The 21526-nt window shown below is 35.0% G+C and overlaps 1 protein-coding gene across 38 annotated transcripts in view, besides 1 other annotated feature; it reads right to left on the bottom strand.

The window, feature by feature from the left end:
* The window catches only part of HDAC9 (histone deacetylase 9), a 915592-nt gene that overhangs the window by 496943 nt on the left and 397123 nt on the right, over positions 1-21526 (bottom strand). For 13 of the 38 annotated variants that reach the window (NR_135835.2, NM_178425.4, NM_001321877.2 and 10 more), the window contains exons 1-2: positions 9451-9725; positions 9150-9212 (exon numbers count right to left, since the gene is read on the bottom strand). Coding sequence is in view for 33 of the 38 variants with exons in the window: in NM_178425.4 (NP_848512.1) it covers positions 9150-9171 (22 nt within the window). In the remaining 5 variants the exon portion in view is untranslated. Of the gene's footprint in view, positions 1-2834; positions 2894-9149; positions 9213-9450; positions 9765-21526 lie in introns of those variants that run through there. The other 25 variants (NM_178423.3, NM_001321898.2, NM_001321902.2 and 22 more) reach the window with 7 other exon arrangements.
* Positions 9947-9996: an enhancer, noted in NCBI's record as "active region_25680". NCBI's record gives its function as "activates an Ori minimal core promoter by ATAC-STARR-seq in GM12878 lymphoblastoid cells {active_cell/tissue: GM12878}" and the evidence as "EXISTENCE:reporter gene assay evidence [ECO:0000049][PMID:35858748]".

Raw genomic sequence — 21526 nt, 5'->3', positions numbered from 1 at the left:
AATTATGTTAGCTAGATCTTTATTGTGGCTAGAGAATTTCACATTGCAAGTTGAAATTAGGATTTGAGTGGTGATATAGGCTTTATTAACCTTACATTTCAAGGTAAATGCCAAGGTGAGTATAATTCAAACCTTTTGGTCAAAATAAATGAACCCCATAATGCTAACATTTCAAAAAAAATTACTTTCTCCTGCCAAAATACATTAATAATAATTTGCTATTTTGAAGCGGGGCTAACTTTACCCTCATGATCTGTGTATCATGAACACTGGCAAACAGGTGCCAAATGCATCAGGAATGCTGCTTCTGTCCAGAGCATCTGCTCCAAGGAAAAGAGCACGCTCATAGAAGCTTGGTTTCCTTAAGCTCCTCTCAGCCCTGGATAGTGCTAACTTCCTCGAATTTAATTATCTAGCACTGAGAACATGAAGTAAGGATCTTCCAGCAAAACTTTCAACATGCTTGCCTATTTGTGCCTTAAACCTCCCAGGATTAAGAAGTCTGTCTAGGTATTTGTTTATACATATATAAATGTGTCCACATTTTTAGTACCAAGCAGAATTATCCTATGCTAAATATTTTTTGAGAAAAAGGGGCAGGACCCTGCCATTTAAACACGACCCTGCCATTTCCTACCTACAGTAACCATCAGTAAATTTCTTATCTCTCTGAATATATTTCCTCAACTGTAAAACACCAATATTGCTGCAACAACTACTGCATTATTAAACTGTGGTGAGGATTAAATGATCAAGTGATACACAGAGAAACTTTTGAAACATTAGCCATTGTGTCAATAATAAAAGAATGACATAAAAATTTTTGAAAAAAATATGCTTACAATCACTGACCTCTAAAATTGGAACTAGGCTGGGCGCAGCGGCTCATGCCTATAATTCCAGCAGTTTGGGAGGCCAAGGCGGGCAGATCACTTGAGGTCAGGAGTTCGAGACCAGCCTGGCCAATATGGCGAAACCCCATCTCTACTAAAACTACAAAAATTAGTCAGGCATGGTGGCACATGCCTGTAATCCCAGCTACTTGGGAGGCTGAGGCAGGACAATCACTTGAACCAGAAGGTGGAGGTTGCAGTGAGCCAAGATCATACCACTGCACTCCTGCCTGGATGACAGAGTGAGACTTTGTCTCAAAAAACAGAACAAAACAAAATAAAATAAAATTGGAACTAAGCAACTAGAAGATCAGAGAGGAGTATGACAGAAAAAAACAAAAACGGGTGGTGATAACTTTCTAACTTAAAATGGATAGTTCCTAATGTAAAAATCATGTACTTAAAATACACCCTTGAATTTTGATTATGAGATTTCAAAAGCATCATCAAGAATAAAGTTAAAACAGTGCTTAACACAAGAGCTTTTTCTTATTCACCCTACATGGGGTTCCCTGAAAACCTTCTGGGTAAACACATTTTTACTAAAGCAAGAACTCCCAAGCTATGATGTCATTTAATGAAAACTCAGTGAAATTTACTTATTTTTTGTTTTCTGGATTTTGGGGGGTTTATTTTGTTTTTAATATCAAGTTTCAAATTTTGAAACAACTTCATGACATTCTCATTTGAAAATGTCATGCCTTAGACATTCACCAAAATGTACCTCAAGCAAATTGAAAATAACATCCACATGGCTGCAACTGGGTCAATAATGAACATACATTATGAATTTAAAAGTTTCTGATACAAGTGGTGAACCATAAGGAGAAGCAGGAAAATAAAGTCGTGGGTATTTCCAACCTTATCAGCATGCAAAAAGTTTAATCATAAGCAAATGACTAGTTACACTCTGTGGTTTGGTAAATTTCTTTCTTCCTTAAAAGTGGTTTTCATTGGATTTAATTAATGGGTATTTAAGAAACACTGTACACGAAAAGCCCATCACTTATTTTACTATGGAAAAGTTAACATTATGATAATGAATGGAAAATATATTCTTATAAAAACACAAGAAGTATTTATTCTTATATTCATGAATCATAGCAACTCAGAGTAAACCTAAACATAACGTTCTCTGATAACACTTGAAAGTGTAGGTCGTTTAGTATTGTGAAAAATGTTGTTTAAATTAAATTTGTTTTGTGCAACCAACTTAGTTGAAGAAGAATGGAACTAGGAACACCAGGCATTTCCTCTTTCTTTGCTTCCTTATTGCCAACTTACTGGGAAAAGAAAAGGGGAAAACTGCCAACAGGAAGGACACCACATATCCCAAGCTAACCACTCACTTCAGCTTCCTTTCAAAAACAGGGGGGACCATGGCACAGCCAACACTCATTTGAGGCAGAGGCCAACATATTTTTGAATTTCTTCTTGAAAGCTTCTTTTCTAAAGTCATTTGCATGAGCTTTTATTTCAATTAAATTATTTTCAAAGCATTCAAATTCAGAAAAAAAATGTTAAAATGTAGTGCTTATCATTCCATATTGTAAAAATTGTTCATGATTCTTAAAATGTAATACTTGTGACAACCTACTGGCGAACACATTCTGAGTATTTTTAAGATAATCCTCCTTTCATATATTGAAAACAATTCATATATTATTATATTTCTCAAAAAAAATTTTGTGTGCCTCGAAGCCAACATTAAAGGAATACTCTATTCACGTTTATAATAAATGCTTGTAAGGCATGAGGCCACAATGTTGACTCTCCTTCCTTCAGAAAACATGATTAATAGCTTAGAGAGATCCAGTTTCTTCTACAATTACTTCAGTCTCTTTATTAGGGGGCTTCTTCTAACAATAGACAGTACTAAGAAAGGCAATCTATTCAATATTAATAAAAAACTTATATTCAATACTAGTAAAAAATACTTACATTAGTATTTAAACAGATATATTATCTTCATGAAAAGAAAGTCAACACCCATAGTTCAACTGAAAGGGAAATTATAAACATAGTCCATTTACTTTATTATATTTGTGGAAACTAAAAAGTAAATAAAATTGCAAAGAAGAAACTTCTTATCACCAATATCCACGTTGTAGCAAATACTGCTAGTGCCTAGCTAACATCTATTCCTCCTGCTTCTTGGTTCTTCCCAATAGAAACTTGAGCAGGTTTAGGTATCCTGCCTTCCCAGCTCAGTCATGGGTCCCACTCCTCTGAAAAACAAGTGAAAGAATAGGCAGGTGATGCTATTCTAGTCAATATAGAATAAAGGATGATCTGCTGGAGAAGTCTGGGTAAGATTTCTTTCCTTTAAAAGAGACGCCAAGACAGCAGTTTCCCCTCTTTGTCTCTGGAGTTTGTCGTGCATAAATAACATGATGCTTGAAACTGCTACGAGTCAACTTGTGACCATTGGAGGATCCAACCTTTGTCTCTGCAATTTGTTATGCATAAACATACATAATGCTTGGAACTGCTACAAGTCAGTTTGTGACCATTGGAGGATCCAATCTTAGGATCACACCAACCAAGGCTAAGACCAGCAGAGTGGAGCTATATGAAGGACCTGAATGCTGCTGCCATTTTTGACTACCTGGTGCTGCCTAACCACCCAACTACTTTATCACATGATAAATGTCCTACTTGTCTGTCATTTTGACTAGAGTGTTCTTTTATCTGCAGGAGAAAACAACCTAACTAATATACCTACTACTTACAATTAATCACTGTTAGTATTTTGACATGGTAGCTTTGTGTGGGGGTGTGTAATGAACACTTCTCATAGAATACATGCCTATTATAAAAAATCATACACTGTAAAGAGGTATGATGCTGAAAGAAAAAGCCCCTCCTCTTCACCAAACACAGCACAGCATCTTTCCTTATTTCTTCCTATCTTTATATGAATTCTTCAGGAGATGGATGGATAGATTTAAAAAATTATAAAAATAAGAACATATCACTGATGTTATATTTATTTTTAAAAACTGAAATTAAACTTAACTGAATTTAAATTTAAACTTAACTGAATTAAGCAGATTTAAAACTGCAGTTGAAGGAACTATAAATGTACTAAATACTTCCTTAACGTAAGAGATACTATTTCCAAAAAGACCTCTTTAAGGTTAAATAAACTATTTTTAAAAATCAGTGCTTTGAATCTTTTTTTTAAGTATGTGTTTCTATTTTAAGCAGCAGGGAGTCTGTCCCTGCTCAGAAAGGGAAGGATATTAGCATTTCTCACATCCTTCCATCTCACCTCTCTCTAACACCTCACACTGGCCAGCTTTATTAATATTTTTACATTCCCCTACTTTATAATATCTGTTTTCTGCCCTATAAACACAATCCAATAGTTGTTTAAATGCATTCAGTGTTCCCTCGTTACTTTGATAATGTTTTCTCTACTTCTGAATTTAGTTTTTTGTTTGTTTTAAGTTCATCTCTTCACTGTGTGGCTTTCACTGTCAAGCAGCCTCTTTCATGTTTGAGAATTTCTACTTTGTCTAACTGTTTTCCTTTTTCATTTACTCTGATTTTTTTCAAACCTTTCATCTTTATGTGTAAAGATTTTTACCTGGGCCTATTCTGTTTTCTTCTATTTCTAATGAATATTTTTTTCTATAATCATTATGATTTTCCATTCTTGATTCATTTCCTGAGATCTATATCTCCTTTCTCATCTCATTCTCTTGTTTATCATCTCACCTTTCAGCTTTTTTTAATATAAAATTTATGTAAGGTGCTCTATTTGTAGGAAGCAATACTAAGACGTCTAATTCCATGGGTTCAATGAGTTGATGTTTTTCTTCTTGGCAGAATCTCTAAGTTTAGTTGGTGAAAGGTACGTCATTCCAAAGAGCTATGGATCGATCTTTCTCCCAATTTAGTACGCTGCTCTGAAGCCTTCATTTCTACTATTTCTCAGCCACAAGAGAAAACAAGAACAACCCAAAATGGTGAGGATACCTACTCAGTTTTCTTCTCTTCAGATTTGGGAATCTTAGTGAGAATCCTCAGGAACTGGTCAACTTGCCAGTAAAATTCTAAGACAGCCCAGGAGACAGGTCTCTCTGTTATGATCAAAGAACCTCTGCATCCATTTTTGCCTTGGCTGTTAGCCTCTGAGGTATGTTGCATTAGGTTATATCATTTTCTTTGCTCAGTTACTGTTGAATATATTGGGTGACAGGGATGGAAGGTATGTTTGCTGGCTGACATGCTATTTTGGGCTCACTTCATTATTTATCAGTAGTGAGAAATTATGAGGCACATTTTAAAATTGCTCATCTCCAAAATTAAAATCATCATTTAGAATATTTTTTGAATTCAGAATTTGGATTTATTTCAGTCTTCCAAGGGGTTTTATTGGATTTTCTTACTTAACGGACATAACAATAATTATGCCTCCTGTGTCATCCTTAGAAATATGAAATACTCATTCTTGTCTCCATTCTCAATGAGCCCATTTATAATTATATTTCTGATTGATACCTATCATCTATCTCAATTGATAACAGACTTGCAAGTGAAGATAACCTGAGTTAGAGAATGGCAAAACAGTAATTATGGGGAATACCAGAAGTGATTCTTGACATGACAGGAACATTTCACAGACTTACATTTTCATAATTAGATTCTGCTTTTCAAGTAGACATAAGTGACGTGACTACTGAATCTAAAATGTTCCCTTCCCCTCAACACCATACACTAAGGAACAAAAGGATTCAAAAAAGGGTGAAGATATATAAAAGAATTTCAGGACTTTGATTTAAATGTTTTTCTTTTATACCCTAAAGTAAGAATAGATGGCCAAAATATGAGCTTTCCTTATTGTAAATATATCTTACATTACTTCTGTACAAACTCTAGGAAATTCCTTCATAATAATTGTTCCAATATTGTCTGGACAGCTCTGCTGCCCAACGTGTTAAGCAACATGCTTGGCAATGGGAGAACACCCCTAATCCTGCCAGCTCCTGCAGAGTGACCTGAGTCAATATTTGTACATGCTTCACTTTCTGCCACAGTTATCACTTACCCTGGCCCACACAAGCCACAAAAGTAGGGATGTACTTGACAAAATGTGTCACTCACACTGAATTCTAAGATTTAATATTATAGAACTTTAAACTAAAATATATTAGTACAATATTATAGAACCTGGTTCTACCAAACATGTTTAGCCTGGCCGAGTCAATATCAAAAAAACATACAACCATAAAAAAAACTTGTATTCCAATAGTATATAAAGAGCTCTGTACAAAAACCATCAATATTAGTGCATAATATCCAATATAACTAGAACAACAAATGGGAACTCTAATGCAATTGCTAAAGAAATTACACAACATAACCAATGTTTTAAAAATAATCTCATGAAATCTGCGATTGGGGTTCACTGTTCAATCACATACTGTGCAACTTCTTTGCCTTTATTACATAATGAGACATTTCAGAGAACACACACACACACACACACACATACACACCCTACTCTTACCTATAGTGATAGTCTGCATAGGAAAGATCTCAACTCTTATCAAACCAAGGTAACAAAATAAATAGTTGATTTATAAGATAACTAAGGCAAACTGATTATCAAAACAAACAATCATTTCCCCCATGTGACCTACAATGTAACTCATGTGGCTTGTTCAGCAAGATAGAACATGGCATTGAAAACCAAGATCTTAGGTTCATTCACTAAAAACAACAATTCTAATAGTGAGTATACGTTTTAAAGACATATTGATACATCTGAACCTCACAAGAATGCTAAGAGGCAAGCAGGAGGACATCATTATTCTTCAGTTTGAAGATGAGTAAAAAAATCAGTACACAATCGGCTAGCAGTGGAGCTCATGCTAGAATACAGAGTGTCTGACTCCTAGAACAGTGCTCTCTCCACTCCTTTGCACTGCTGCCAGGCATCCTTTCTCTCTTTCAAATCCAAAGACTCTGCTTCTAAGCCTATGAATCACGTCCAGACCACTGGTCCAAAAGGGAGCTGAACAAGATTTGTAGCTAAATTAAGACAAACATACCCCTAATTTAGCAGTTAGCTCAAAGGACAAACCCTACTGATAGTGGTTCACCAGCATCACCATCTGTTCCCTAGCCCTACAGCAGTGAATCTCAGTTTGCTGAAGGTTAAGGTGGGGAGATTTTAAAAACCTCAATCCCCAGGCTGTTCCCCATACCAATTAAACCAGGCATTCTGGGAGTGGAATCTAGGTATCATATTTTGTAAAGTGCTTCTGGTGAGTCCAACTTTGAGAGCCAGTGCCTCACAGGAAGTATACAATAAAGACTAGGTGAATTAAATTTAAGAACATATATGAAATATATGGCATGGCAGGAAGGGTGTAATTGTTTTTATGCTTCACATTTTAAAAATAAATAGAACTTAGTGATTATGTATTTATACCAGACAGGTTTTGGGAGTTGATGTTAACCTACATCACTTTTCATTTAATAGCTAGCTGCTGCTTAAATGTTGCTTCTTGTAGAACTGGCCAAAGCATGGACAGCCTGAAGCACTTCCCTGTCTGAAAATCTTGTTGCTTTGTACACAAACCATTAAATGCTAGGAAAATGACAATCTCTACTGAAATGGGTGTAAAGCTGTATGTGATTATCAAAGATGTGGAGAAAAAAGCAAAGCTTGCAAACACCTGTAGCCAGCCTTAGCTTCAGCAGACACTTGCTACTTGGAAGGCATGTATGTTTCTACCATATGAAAAAAAATATCAAACTTGTAACACAGAAGTGAGGACTAAAAGGATAAAGCATAGTGCTGAAAAGATTTCTAAAATAGTTATTTTCAAAGGGTTCATCCATATTTTAAAAAATAAAATGCTAAGTTAAATGACCAGTCCCATTAGAGACATACCTGTTAAACCCTCCCGGAGCCCTTGTCAGCTTTGCAGCTATAAGAATAAACTGTACTGAAATTCTGGTAGGTTTGCTTTTGTTAAGCAGGCACTATTCATTAACATAATTCCTGTCACTTAAGTGTATAAATACCAAATTATGCAAAATTGATATTTTATTCTGATTCCATGAAAAGATTGGGTCAACAGAAGGATCTTAAAATTAACATAACTAACCAAGGTTTAAAGAAAACTAGCTTTAAACATAGATCCCCATATGGGAAGGTGTATTAACACCAAAACAGACATCATGCCAACCTGTGGAATATTTCTTTCACACCTAGCTCTACAAAGTAAACACTGCTTTATGTGGCATTCTTATCATGGAAATCTAGGCGGTGATCTATAATTACGATTAAGCCCACATGGGAAGTGGGATCTAAGTGAGAACTTTAAGCCAATTTTAGGTTGAAACATTCAGAAGAGGACAGAAACAAAGAGTTCCCAAAGCTTTAGGAAATAGCCATAGGAAATAAATATGAAAGGCAATAATTACACGTTAAGTGATACTGCCTGGAGAGTATGTTCATTTAGTAAGTATAAATTGACAAGGCTGACAAGCTCAATCTCCCACCAGCTCATCTCCTTGAGAAACTAGAAATTAGAATCTGTTCCTATTATCCTTTAAAACGCTGCACCTGCTTTTAACACATTTACATGTGTGTTATGCCATCACATCTGCCTGACAATGCTAGACTTCCCACATGTTTTTGAAGAAAATTAAAATAAGCATCTGCTAATAACAATTTTATTTCATCCTAAACAGTTTCATTTGGGGCTGATGAGAAAAAGCCACATAATGGAAAAAAGAAAACTACCTTTATAACTCTGTGGCAAACACATTTTAGAAGGTAGGTCTATAAATAGATGTGCTTCTGTAGGCACAGAGTAAATATAAAATCGTCAGGCTAGCGGGGCTGCAGTTTAAACTGAAGCCCCAATATGAACTTACCTGATTTTTAAAGTCCTATTAGAATAGGCTTACAATCAGTACACAGCTCCTTTTTCTAGTTGCATAGTAAAGGCAAAACACCCCCAACTACATTTTACTTATCTCAGTCTCATCTTTCATCAGAAGCAATAGTTTGCAATTTCATTCAGAAGCTGCTGTCCCTAAGCAGACTGAATATGCACAGAAACAGTAATGGAAGGGATCTAAGTTAAACCCTACAGACGCACCAAGAAAATAGCAACATCAACACGAAAAAGCAGCAATTTCCTTAAGAGAGGTGCTTTTCTTAGCTGCATTTCCCAAGCCAGCCCCCTTTCAAACCTAAAACGTCTCAGTTATGAAAGAGGATCTTACCTGAGCTGATCATACTGTGCATTCTTTGCTGAGCCAAGAGCTGCTCTCGTCCAGCCACCCCATCTGAGGAAAAACAGGAGTCACTCTCGTAAATTGTCTGCAGCATATTCCAGTCACTCTTACTTCAGCTACATGAAACATTCATCACTGCTCAGTGCACCGGCCCCAGGAGCTACCCTCGCTGGTTCTCCCTCCTCCCTGAGGAGAAGCAGCAGAGGATCAACTTCGACAATGATTTCCTTTCTGCTCAAATGGGCATCCACTTTTAAAAAGACCTGGACACTTTTCCCATGTTACCAACCTGTGTGCAAAGCAGAAAGGACAGAGTGGATGCTATAGCTCTCTGGAGTTTAGGTTATCCCGGAAACTACAAGCAGGTGGGAAATAGGAACGTGCTTCGGGGTTATTTCTTTGTCAGAATACGTAGAAAATTATTAAGTCTACCCACGAGAAAAAGAAACCAATTAAACCTGGCTTAGAGTTCTTCAGGCTGCTAGGGTTTTGTTGCAAAAACCCTCAGTCCTGCAAGTGGCTCCAGCCGGTGCCCTTCTCCTATCTGTGTCTGTGCCTCTCTTCCCCCTTTCTCAGTCTCTCTCAGCTCAAGTTGGCTAAAGCGAGTGATAATCCATTTGCATATGAATCAACAACAGCATGGCCCACAGGCACAGAAATAGAACAATGGTCGGCCTGAGCCAAAAATAGGTCAAGCATGGCCGAGTGATTGGAGCCTGCATTAATGCATTTAAAAATACCCCAGCAAACCCAGCTGTCCAGCCTCTATCTTTCCAACCATAATTCTCTATCGCAGGGCCTTAAAACCAATTAACTCTTTCCTCTCTCGAAGCTTGCTTTACACACTGTGTTTCCATACTGGCGATTCGCTTCCAAAGAAAGGAAGGCAAGAAAAAAAATTAAGAATCATAATTCTAAGAGGGCAAATGCACATACATTTCATTTCATTTTATTTTTGTAGTATGTGTTTTTGGAAGAGAGAGGAGAGAAGTACAGAGCTCTGTATTGGTTCTAAAATAATACTGGAAGCTTTTGCTCATAATGTGGTTTCTGCCTCACCCACGCACAGCAATCCTGGTGTTCTATTTTTGTTGCCTGTTTCTCAGGCTACACTGCAGTTGGCTGTAGCACTAGAAGCTTTTCTGCCTTCTAGTTTCAGGACTAACAGGAGATTTAGCAGAGGTACTTTTGGAAAACAAGCACACCCCAGAATAAAATTTTTATGAAGGACAGGCTTGATTTTTTACTTGCTATTTATGCAAGACAATTGTCCATTTCACAAATCCTATTGTATCTTAGTACCACCTATGAATTTTATCGCATCCATCCAGTTAGTACTATATCTATAAACAAAACAAAACACAAAACACAAAACCGTGGCTTATATGTGAAAATTTCCCCTCAGCCTCTCAGGCTAAATTCAATTTACTTGCAAAAGGAAAAGAAAGTAGTCTGATTTCTTATGGATACAGAATTTCTGAGCATATGCACCTGTTGATGGATAAATCATATATATGGTTAGTACCCAACTATGACTGTTCTGCATTCAGCTATACATTGGTTGCCCGAAATATGGACCTCCTAACTTTTCTGTAGAAATAGCATTTATGATAGTCAATAGATTACCAGACACATTGTGGCGTTCAGCTATACAGTACAGTAGATAGTATCAGAGTTTTATAGTCTCTGGTGCTACATTTATATCCTTTCTATATAAGAGATAAATTTTACATTCCAAAGAGGGATCCTAGCATCTTGTCACTTCCAAGAGCAAACCCAAAAGTGATAATCTACTAGTCATGGAAGCTCTTTTCTCTTTTCTAAACTAAATCAGCGAGGAAAATGTAATTCTAAGGCATCAGAAGCAACAGGGGAAAGAGAGGAAAAAGCAGATTATTTCAAAATTCCCAGAACAATCCGATGGAAGAGGGATCTTGGTCAACTCCAGAGTATGAAGTCAGAGGGGGCAAACAAGGGGACACAGAGTTTTGATGAAAGGGAAGAAATAAGCACGTTAAATCATTCATCAAATAGGCCACTGCTGAATTCCTCTTCTTTCACAGATTAATTTCTACTGAATACTCTACTTCTTGAAAAATTGTATTTGGATATGTAAGTTACAATTTTTAAAAAATATATATTCCAAACTGCGTTTGACTTAAGCTACACAACAAAATCTTATGTTCCTGTCAGTGGAAAAAACAAAAAGCAATTATCTGATTCCATCTGATATTACAAATAAACTTTTGATTACAAAATTTATGTGTAAAATTCAAAGGATAGAAACAGTGTGGACCTAATAATTTTCCTTAAGGATGATGTACTGAAGTAGTAACTATCATCACATTTTAGACCTGGGAGGAAATTTAGAGATAGTCAATTGTAGTTTTCAAACTCTGTCTCATGACATAAGGTACCTGCGAGTTGCCTAAGTTTCCTCAAAAAAGGTTCTCCGTGGAACCAGGGGAGCTCCACTTTTACCTGTTTCCATTTGGAGATTTGAGATTTCTTTTGAAGAACTTTTTTTTTTTTTATTCTACAAAACATTTATGTAAAGAACATTTTTTAAATTGCGGTATATTTGACAAATCAAGATTCTTTATATTTCAGGTGTACAATTTGATGATTTGATACACCTATACCTTGTGAAATAATTACCATAATCAAGCTACAAATCTATCATCTCAGCTAGTTACCATTTTTTTTGTGGTGAGATCAGAACAAGAACTTCTTATATTAAGAAAAACAATCATTGAAATTCACTCATGAGGAAACGAAGGAGGCTTGATTACAAAAGGACTCACTATTGGAGTCAGGCTTTAAAGACAGTAGCTTAAGGAAATACAGGTAATTAATAACTAACCATATAGGTCTAGCATTTATATTATCCAGTCTCACCATCTTGTCCCTTACCAAAATGATACAAATCATTATCTGAGATATTCCAAATAAAATTTAATATGATCTACTGATGAAAAATGGACCCACTGTCTGTTTCAGAGTGATTTTTAACAGAATACAAAAATTTATGATGAATATACAAAAGAGATAACAAAATCACCATATTGATACAATATGCCTATGCATCTTTTGTCTTTTTAAGTTTAAATTACACCTTCAAACAACAATTGATAAAAAAAGATCTCTCAGCTTTTATAATAAAAAATAAAAAATAGAATAAAACTCCAGAAGACTGAGTTAGTAATTATCCTAGTTCTTAAAGGATCCAGGAAAGGGCATTCCACATAAAATACTGTAAATAATGTGTCTTCTTCATTTTGACCATTATTTAACATGAGGTTTATTTACGTTTCATCCCTGCATTCTTGCAGTATGTTTTTCCATCAGCCATCTTCTCTTTTATTTAACTCTTGATAATGAAAAAATATTTTAGAGTGAAAAGACATTGGATACTTACAAAAAACCCCACTTGTTTCTCAGAAGAAAAATAAGTATCATCAAAACAACCATCAACTATATTGATTACCATATTTCCATTATTAAGAATGTTGAGTTAATTCTTCCCACATCATCTCAGTAATGTTAGTAAAGAAATGTGACTCAGTTTCTTTTGGGGTATTTATAAAACTACAGTTTACTAATGTGGGGGAAAAAGATATATGTTCTATTACAAGAACTATAACAAGCTAATACAAATGTCAGGCTAGGTAGATGGGTAGTTTAAAAAGTTTCAATGTAACAAATTCAAATTCAATTAAGTAAGCATTTATTGCAAACTAATCCAAATATTATATGTTATATACACATAGGTCAAAGAAAAAGGTAAAAAAAGTAACAAGGGCCAAAAAAATCTCAGGTTCTCAATTTAATAGTAAATGAAAGTGGGAATTAAATCCTAATGTAAAATGTTATTTCAAAGTTACCATAATCCAATTTCTTTCTATGCAGACATATAAGCAAAAAAAAAGTATTAAAAAACCTGTATGGCACCAAAATATTTCCAGAAATATCCTCAGACCTCTAGCTCACAATGACCTTTTCTAAAATGGATTTAGATCACAATCCTGAAAGACACAATCCCACATGCCATAATCCTGAATGTTGAAATCTGAAAAGATACAAAATCCCTAAGGTCTAAATCCCTTAGGTCTAAAATCTCTCACGTCTACAATCCTGAAAATAACAATCTCGAAATATTAAAATCTCAAATATGAAATCTTGAAAGCTGCATTCTGGTGAAGCGATTAGTTTTTGGTCGTATGCAGGATTATTGCATCATGTTAGTTGCATCATGTTAGGCGGCTGTTACAGTCTTTACTTGGAAATTAAGTATGGTTAAGGAGAGACTTACGGGAGCCAAGTTGACAAGGGGTGGACCTGTGGATTCAATTTGAGATGTCACTGGATTAAATACTTAGAAACCTATTAAAGCATTTTTTGGGTGTGTCTGTGAGGGTGCTTCCAGATGACATTAGTGTGAGTTTGAGTGGATTAGGTGAAGAAGATCTCCCCTCAATGTTAGCAGGCACCATCCGATCTGCCGGGGACCCATATAGAACAGACACAGGAGGTGAACTGGTTTCTGTCTGAGAACTAGGGCAGGCTTCTCTTCGAATGCCTTGGACATCAGAAATTTGATTCCACGAGAACTGCATTATCACAACGTTGACTTTGCATATAAGCAGTACTTCTGAACCCAAACATGTCGAAATTTCTTCAATAAATGAAAGAAAGATTTTGTACATCTGCGCTTGTGAAAGAAAATTTATCAGGATCTCGGTTCTTTGGGTAACTATATGCGTGTTGTTGACCCACTGAATTTTTTGATCCATCTTGCCAAAAAGCTTAGCTTCTTCATCCGGAAATTTAAGATGACTACAGTTATATAAAGCTGGGTGCACACAATTATCAACCACAGTGATATGCATTTATACATTTCCATTTTTGACCTATTTCTTTATAAATACGGTTTGTCTGCATCATAACTGTTATACTGGTGTGACTGTTGCTAGTATACCTGAGTGTTTTTGCTTGTAAAAATATGTGCCATTATTTATTTTATCGTGTACAGTGTATTGTTTTGTTTTAATTTTTCTCAAATAAACCCCCTTTTAAAATGTAAATAAATATAAAGAATGTTTTATTATTTCTTTCAGAATTATATTTTCATCTTTTGGGATTTCAACACTTGAGATTATGGAGTTCAAGTTGTATTTTTCTGGATTATAATAGGCTTTCTTCTAAAATCAATCTCAGTTGATAACTGGAAACAAGCAAAGGAGGTAATGTAACCCAATTTATTCTACCACAATGATATATCATCAGTTCATCTGTAATCAAGCAGAGACTTTTCATGTATTAACAAACCCTATGATTCTGGAATGTAAATGAAGTAAGATTTAAAACTTAATTACCTCAAATACCGAATTTGTGCTCTACAATTGTAGTATGCTGCAAATTACTCACCAATAACTGCTGCTCCTCCACTCACTCACTCACTCACTCACTCACTCACTCATTGATGTTACCTCTTCTCCCAACCTCACATTCCTCAAACTATTGTTAAAGCAATAAAACTATATGCATTTGCCTGCAGTCAGTGAGCTTGATTCCCTTAGACCTCCAAGGAATAGGATGGAGGGGAAAGTACAGTGTACTAATTTTTGTTCCAACTCAAGACCTTATTTATCTGAATTTTCTATTTCTTAGAGGAACATCATCAATTCTATGTGAATAAGGGATACTCAATTAACAAGTGATTTCTCCCCACTTAGAAAGCCTAATTAGATAACAAATGGTCTTCTGAGAAAATCTTCCTCATCTGACGCAAGATTTTACAGCAGGTAAAGGGTCTGAGAAATCACGTTGGCATTGAAATTTCAGGGAGACTGTTATATTTGAAAGCAAAACAAATCAACGACAACAAAAACTTTAGAATCATTGGCCTTGCAGTGATTGAAAATAACTCTTCCCTTCAAATGGGATGTGTTGAGCCAAGATTTATTCTATTTTTAGAGGATTACAGAGGATCAAAATCACCTGGGAACTTGCTAGAAGTGCAATTTATTGGTTCCTACCCCAGAACGAGTAAGTCAGAATCTCTGGAAGGAATCTGTATTTTAATCAGCCCTCCAAGTAATTCTGATGCACAATAAAGTTTGAGAACCATAAGATGAGATCATCCTTTCAAAAGCAGGAGTTACACAGCAAAAATATAAAAGAATAAAGTATCTTTTGGTGTGATTTCAAATTAGCCAACATTTTTAGAGAACAATTTTTAAAAATGAAAATAATTAGACTAGGTAAGGCTAGGTAAGAACAAGGCTATCAATATTCGGAGTATGAAAGACTAAGGTGGATTGCTAAGAAAGGGATCCTCTAGCTTGCGAATGAGAGCAGCATTGTACTCTTAAGATGATGGGCATGTGTGCACAGCTTTTCCCTGCTCAGCCATTTTGTTCCAGGTTCTATTTTTTTCTGAGTGTTTTCCAGTTGCACATCAGCCCCTCTCTGCAGCACTCAAGGCAGCCAGCACAGGAGGAGAAATCAATATGGCCCTGTGCAGTCCTGTAATTAGAGATAAGGAAAACTTAATAGTCTTTTGATAGAATCAAGGGAAGTTTATTTTTTCTATGAAAGTGAGTTATTTCATATATTGAATATCAACTATTTCACAGCCACAGTGCAAGCCCTGAAGATATAAATGTATACAAGAATGAGACAGGCCCTACTTTCATGGAATTTTCAGTTTTAGAAGCAATACAATCAAGGTGATTACTATACAGTTTGATAAGAAACTCTGTAACTAAATTTTCTTCAAGTCTTCCCTAAATTTTAATTTATAAGCATGGATTCAAAATAATAAATTTCTCAGGATTGTTATAAGGATGATAGAGAATTATACAATACCTGGCAAATAGGTATTCAATAAATACTAGCTAATATTACTATAACTGATTATTAAAAATATCCTCCTATGGACCTTTAATTCATGATTATTAAAATGTTGAAAAGCTGTTACTCATTTGTTTTTCTAAGAAACTGTATAAATTCTAAAGAAAGTTATATAATTGATTAAATGTTGAATTATTTACTCAGAGTTATAAAAAGTTTCATGCATCAACTTGAAAAAATAGTTCATTTTGCTTTCTCCTGTATTACCAGAGCTTAGCATAATGTCTGGCACATAGTATGTCACTCAATAAATATTTCTGCAATGAATAAATGATTCCTTCTTCAGATGAACCTATTAAGTGACTACTGATCTTGAGTAAATCACTAACATACTATTCAACCTCTAATATTTCATTGTTATTCATTTTATATAGTTTCTTATTAAAATATTAATTTAATAACAAAAATAAACCATAATTAAAAGCTAAGTATATAACTGAATAAAGAATCTCATTGAAAGCAAGTGCAGTTTAATTGCACTTTCACTTTTTGCATTTCCTTTGCCTTGTTCTTGTCCCACAACATAGACCAACCAGTGAAAAAGACTTGGCATCAGACTGTAGCATAAATGATCTCAATGTGACCATCATTATCTAGTACAATTTGAATGAACAAAGTATTAAAATATCTTTCTTGTGAGGCATTTATAGCAGATATCAGCACTAAGAAAATATAAAAATGTGTTTGTAACTCTGCTTTACAGTAATGAACCTTGTACTACTAGTAACCTTGTAGTCATGACAGAGCTTCCAGAAAACTCTGGTTATAAGCTGCATTGGCTAATGTCTTCATGCTCTATCTTTAACTCATGAATTTCACTGAATACACCATTTGCGCTCAAAATTCTAGAAGAAATATATTACAGCTTCAGACCCAACTTTGCCTCCCTTCAAAGGTCACTACAGAAACTTATAACACAATTTTTATACTTCGTATAAACAGCATTTCTGTGACCCTAAAACTAATGTTTCATATAAGATAACTAAGCAACTTAACATCATTTTGCATTAGTATATGTACTACATATGCCTGAATGTATCAGTACATATCAACTAGAAAACCTTGCTTTTCCTTTAAGTGACACGTAATGGTTCATGCTGAATAATGAAGCACTATTTTCTTTATTTAACAGTGTCTACTTTGAAATGCAAGTTAACACTGACTAACCCATCCTATGTTGACTAAGCTATGTACATACAAGGTGTTCACAGGATCAGAAACTTAATGGAAAGCTCTGTTTCAAGAAAAGACTATTTTTAGCTACAGGACTATGAAAATAAAAAAATTCTAGAAGTCCAGTTAAGGATTAGCATTCTGATCTTCACTACTTGGTATGAATCAAAAGTTTATTTTATTCCACAAAATAAGTCTGCTTCTTATGTAGCTGCACATTTAATATTTATCAACTTGGAAATTCTGAACACCAAAAATTCTGTCATGTGTAGCATCTGAATATATACCACATTTGAGAGCTGTGACAAGACTAAGTTACTACTTGCTAACATAATTGTAGCAGATACCAAAAGTCAACCCAGAGCTTTTTACATCATTTCTTGCTACAAAAGTCAAGTTGATACGTGGCATACCACACCATGATCTATAACCAATTTAAATCAAGAGGATTCTAGAAAGCTAGCCTCTGAAAATAGCAACAACTTTTGGTTAATGTTGCAATTCAATTCTGACTTCATAATTCGATCTAATTGGGTGTGAACTATTGAATTTAAGAAATAGCAAGTACCTAAAACATATTTTACTTATGTTTCAACAGATCAAAAGTATTTATAGCAATGGCATATAACTAAATACAAACATTTACAACTGGCCATATCACTAAGTTTATATTATACATCCTATGGTTATGGAATCTTCTCTACTTCAGGACTTCTCTTATTTCAGTGCCAAGAACAGAGGCAAACACACTCTAAGGCCATTCAAGTTTTGACAACCACCTGACCTAGGAGTTCAACCCCTAACTTTCTTTTGCAAACATCATGCAACAGACACAATTCCTGGATATTACCCAAATTTTTCATTTTTCCATGTCTCTGAACATGATGTTCTTGTATTCACTCTTTTTCATTTGGGAAATTCTTTTTCATTTTACCAGTATATAATGTCCTTCTTTGTCCCTTATGATGACTTTTGCCTCAAGATTACTACAACAGACTTTCTTTTTATTCACATTTGCCTGGTAGATATTTTTCTTTCCCTTTATTTTCAACTTTTCAATGCCTTTATTTTAGGCATCACTCTCTTTTATAAGCAGCCTACTTCTGTATCTTTTTCCTTATATCCAATATAAAAGTCTCTGCATTTGGTGAGCTCACAGAAGGGAGATAGAAGCCCTTGCTGGTGCACCATATTCTCTGGAGCTAAAAGCAGTAAATCCTTTTCATCCCCCAAAACACTCTCCAAAGATGATCTCCTTGGCAAAGCCACATGTTGGTTGAATAGATACATATGAATCTACAGAAATGTAGATAAAACATTTGATAACTAAACACTTCCATTCATACTTATTTTCACAAATAAATGTCAGGCACACAATTTTGACCATCTTCTGCATTATCATTCCCCATTCTACCTACCACCCTTCCCAAATCTAATATTTTTTCTGGACGAAATTATACCCAAACATGTTTCATATTATCAATATAAAACATGGAGATTATAAATTATATTATGCTTTATTTTCCTATAATTAAACACAGGAATTAGATATTCAAGATTCCAGAGAATTTACTTAAAACATTTCCATTTCTATACTGAAACTATGTTTACTGAAAATAATTTTAACAATTGTTTCTATGCTCTTAAGGGTCTCCCTGGTTCTGTCTAACGGCCATACTGGCTTCTATTACAGTTTTTCTACAGAACACATTGATGAGACACTCTGAGAACATCAAAGCTCTAATAAAAAGAAGTTCCACCTTACATTGTCATCGAGTTGAAGGCTGTCTTTTCAGCTTTAAAGAGATCCTACATGGTCTAAGCCTTTTGAAGGAAGGGCCTTATGATCATATACTTTCTAGATCAGAGAGATATATTCTGGAAAATGTGGAAACTTTGGCTTCAGATATTAATTTAAATTTGATTCATGAGAATAATGGCATCTCTTTTTTATGAAACAGAACTATATAACTGGTATAGTTTGCCATCAAAGTTCATATGTTGGAAACTTAATTCCCAATGCAACAGTGTTGAGAAGTGAGACCTTTAGGAGGTGATTAGGTCCTTCAGGAATGGATTAATGTCATTATCATAAATGGGTTTGTTATAAAAGCAAATCTAGCCATCTCTTGCTTTCTCATGCTCTCTTGCCCTTCTGCCTTCCACCACGGGATGATGAAATAAGAAGGCCACACAAGATGCCCTTACCATGCTCTTGGATTTCCCAGCCTCCAGAACTGTAAATAAATTTCTTTTCTTTATAAATTGCCCAGTCTGTGGTATTCTATTACAGCAACACAAAACAGACTAAGACAATAACATTTCAAATAATGTGGCTTATTGTATGGATAAGAGGCCTGGATTAAGACAGAATTTGATATGAATTTTGTCTCTGCCACTTATTATGCAGGACTGTACAACTTGGATACGTTACTTAGCCTTTCTGAGTCACAATTCTCTCATGTTATAAATGGGGATATTAACATCTGCCTTTCAGTATAGCTTCAATATTTAGAAACAGTAAATATAAAGTTCCTAGCATTATGATAACATAATAGCACTCAATATACAGTAGTCATTATGATTATAATATAATATTAATACATAAATTAGAACTAAATGATTGAAGGACTACTTAGAATTCTGTATTCTGAACTAAGATAATTGAGTTCTGTATTGCCGAACTAACATCAGCTATAAACATCATAAAACAGAACATAAAAATCATTAGTCTGCTTTGTTTCTTAAAGAAAAAATAAATATATATAATAAATATATATAAATTAAATATGAAAAGTTAGAATGGAAATTTTCATCATATGAATATCACTCTGTAGGCTGCTAAACAAACCATTCATATTCAATGATTCAATGATTCCTAACTGCCAAATAAGATATGGAAATAATGAACAAGAAGGTGGTGGAATATGCTGGGCTATTTGCTATATTCTTTTTATAAAGCCAAATCTGACATTTTAATATGAGAAACGAAGCTTGATAACAACACTCACATGAAATACAGAGCCTTCATTAGGTACAATGAATTACGCCTGTGTTTGTCATTTAATTCGAACCTAGGAATATCTTCAGTAAACAATGTGTTCCCCCCAACTAATGTTTTCTCTCCAGATGGCAGGGACAGTCTATTTAAGAATCAATCAGCTAACATTAGTTATTTCACCTGAAGCTGTAACAATCTGTTTTTTGTAATGAAGCAGGGACTGTTGTCTTATTTTGGCTATGTCTGAAGGAAATTCTCAATGGTACTTGCTTATAAGCAGAAGGGACCCTTTGGAACCCAAGTTTAGTTATTTTAAATTCAAAACCCTAGATGAACTAAAATTTTTTACGTTTTCCTTTTTTTTTTTTTTACAGGTGGGGTCTTGCTCTGTCATCCAGACTGCCATGCAATAGCATAATCATAGTTTACTAAAGCCTCAAACTCCTAGGCTCAAGCAATCTTCTCACGTGATTTCAGAGTAGCTGAGACATAGGCATGCATCACCATGCCTGGTTAATACTTTTTCATTATTTCAATTAGGAATAATTATGTGTTGACTTCAAAAACCGAGGCCTAGTTAAACGAAACTAAAATCTAGGAGCTAAATGGTTCTAAGGGCTAATTAACAGGGAATCCACAAACATAAGTTAATGCTATCCCCTTCAAAAGCTAGGGAGAAAACACTCAGCAGACATAATATTCAAAAACTTCAGGCATTTGATTTCATTTAAAATATGCACTTCACTCAAAACATGCTTATAGCATTACATGAACAAAAAAACTTAAACCAATATGGGGGTTAAGAAATGAGAACCCATGATTATCAAGTTCTATGATAATGGGGCTACCTTTGTATTTCAATACCTATAGACATTTACTTTTTTTTTTTTTAATAGGATCTTGCTCTGTCACCCAGGTGTAGTGCAGTAGTGTAATCATAGCTCACTGCAAACTCAACCTCCTGGGCTCAAGGGATCCTCTCCCCTCAAGCGCTGGGACTACAGGCACACACCACCATGACTGGCTAATTTTTTTTTTTTTTTTTTTTTTGAGAGATAAGGTCTTGCTTTGTTGCCTAGGCTTGAACTCCTTGGCTCAAGCAATCCTCCCACCTCAGCCTCCCAAAGTGCTGGGCTTACAGTGGCCACCATGCCCAGCCCCATAACAGTATTTTAAATATTTAGCCATTAGGGTAAAACTAAAGTACCCTTTTTTACACTTTCAAATGAATCATGAATTATTGTAACATCTCAAAACTGTGTAGATCATTACATAG

This window comes from Homo sapiens, chromosome 7, assembly GCF_000001405.40.
Source record: "Homo sapiens chromosome 7, GRCh38.p14 Primary Assembly".
Taxonomy (NCBI): Eukaryota; Metazoa; Chordata; class Mammalia; order Primates; family Hominidae; genus Homo; species Homo sapiens.
The sequence above is the reverse complement of the archived record's forward strand: the minus strand, read 5'-3'. Positions and strand labels throughout refer to the sequence as shown.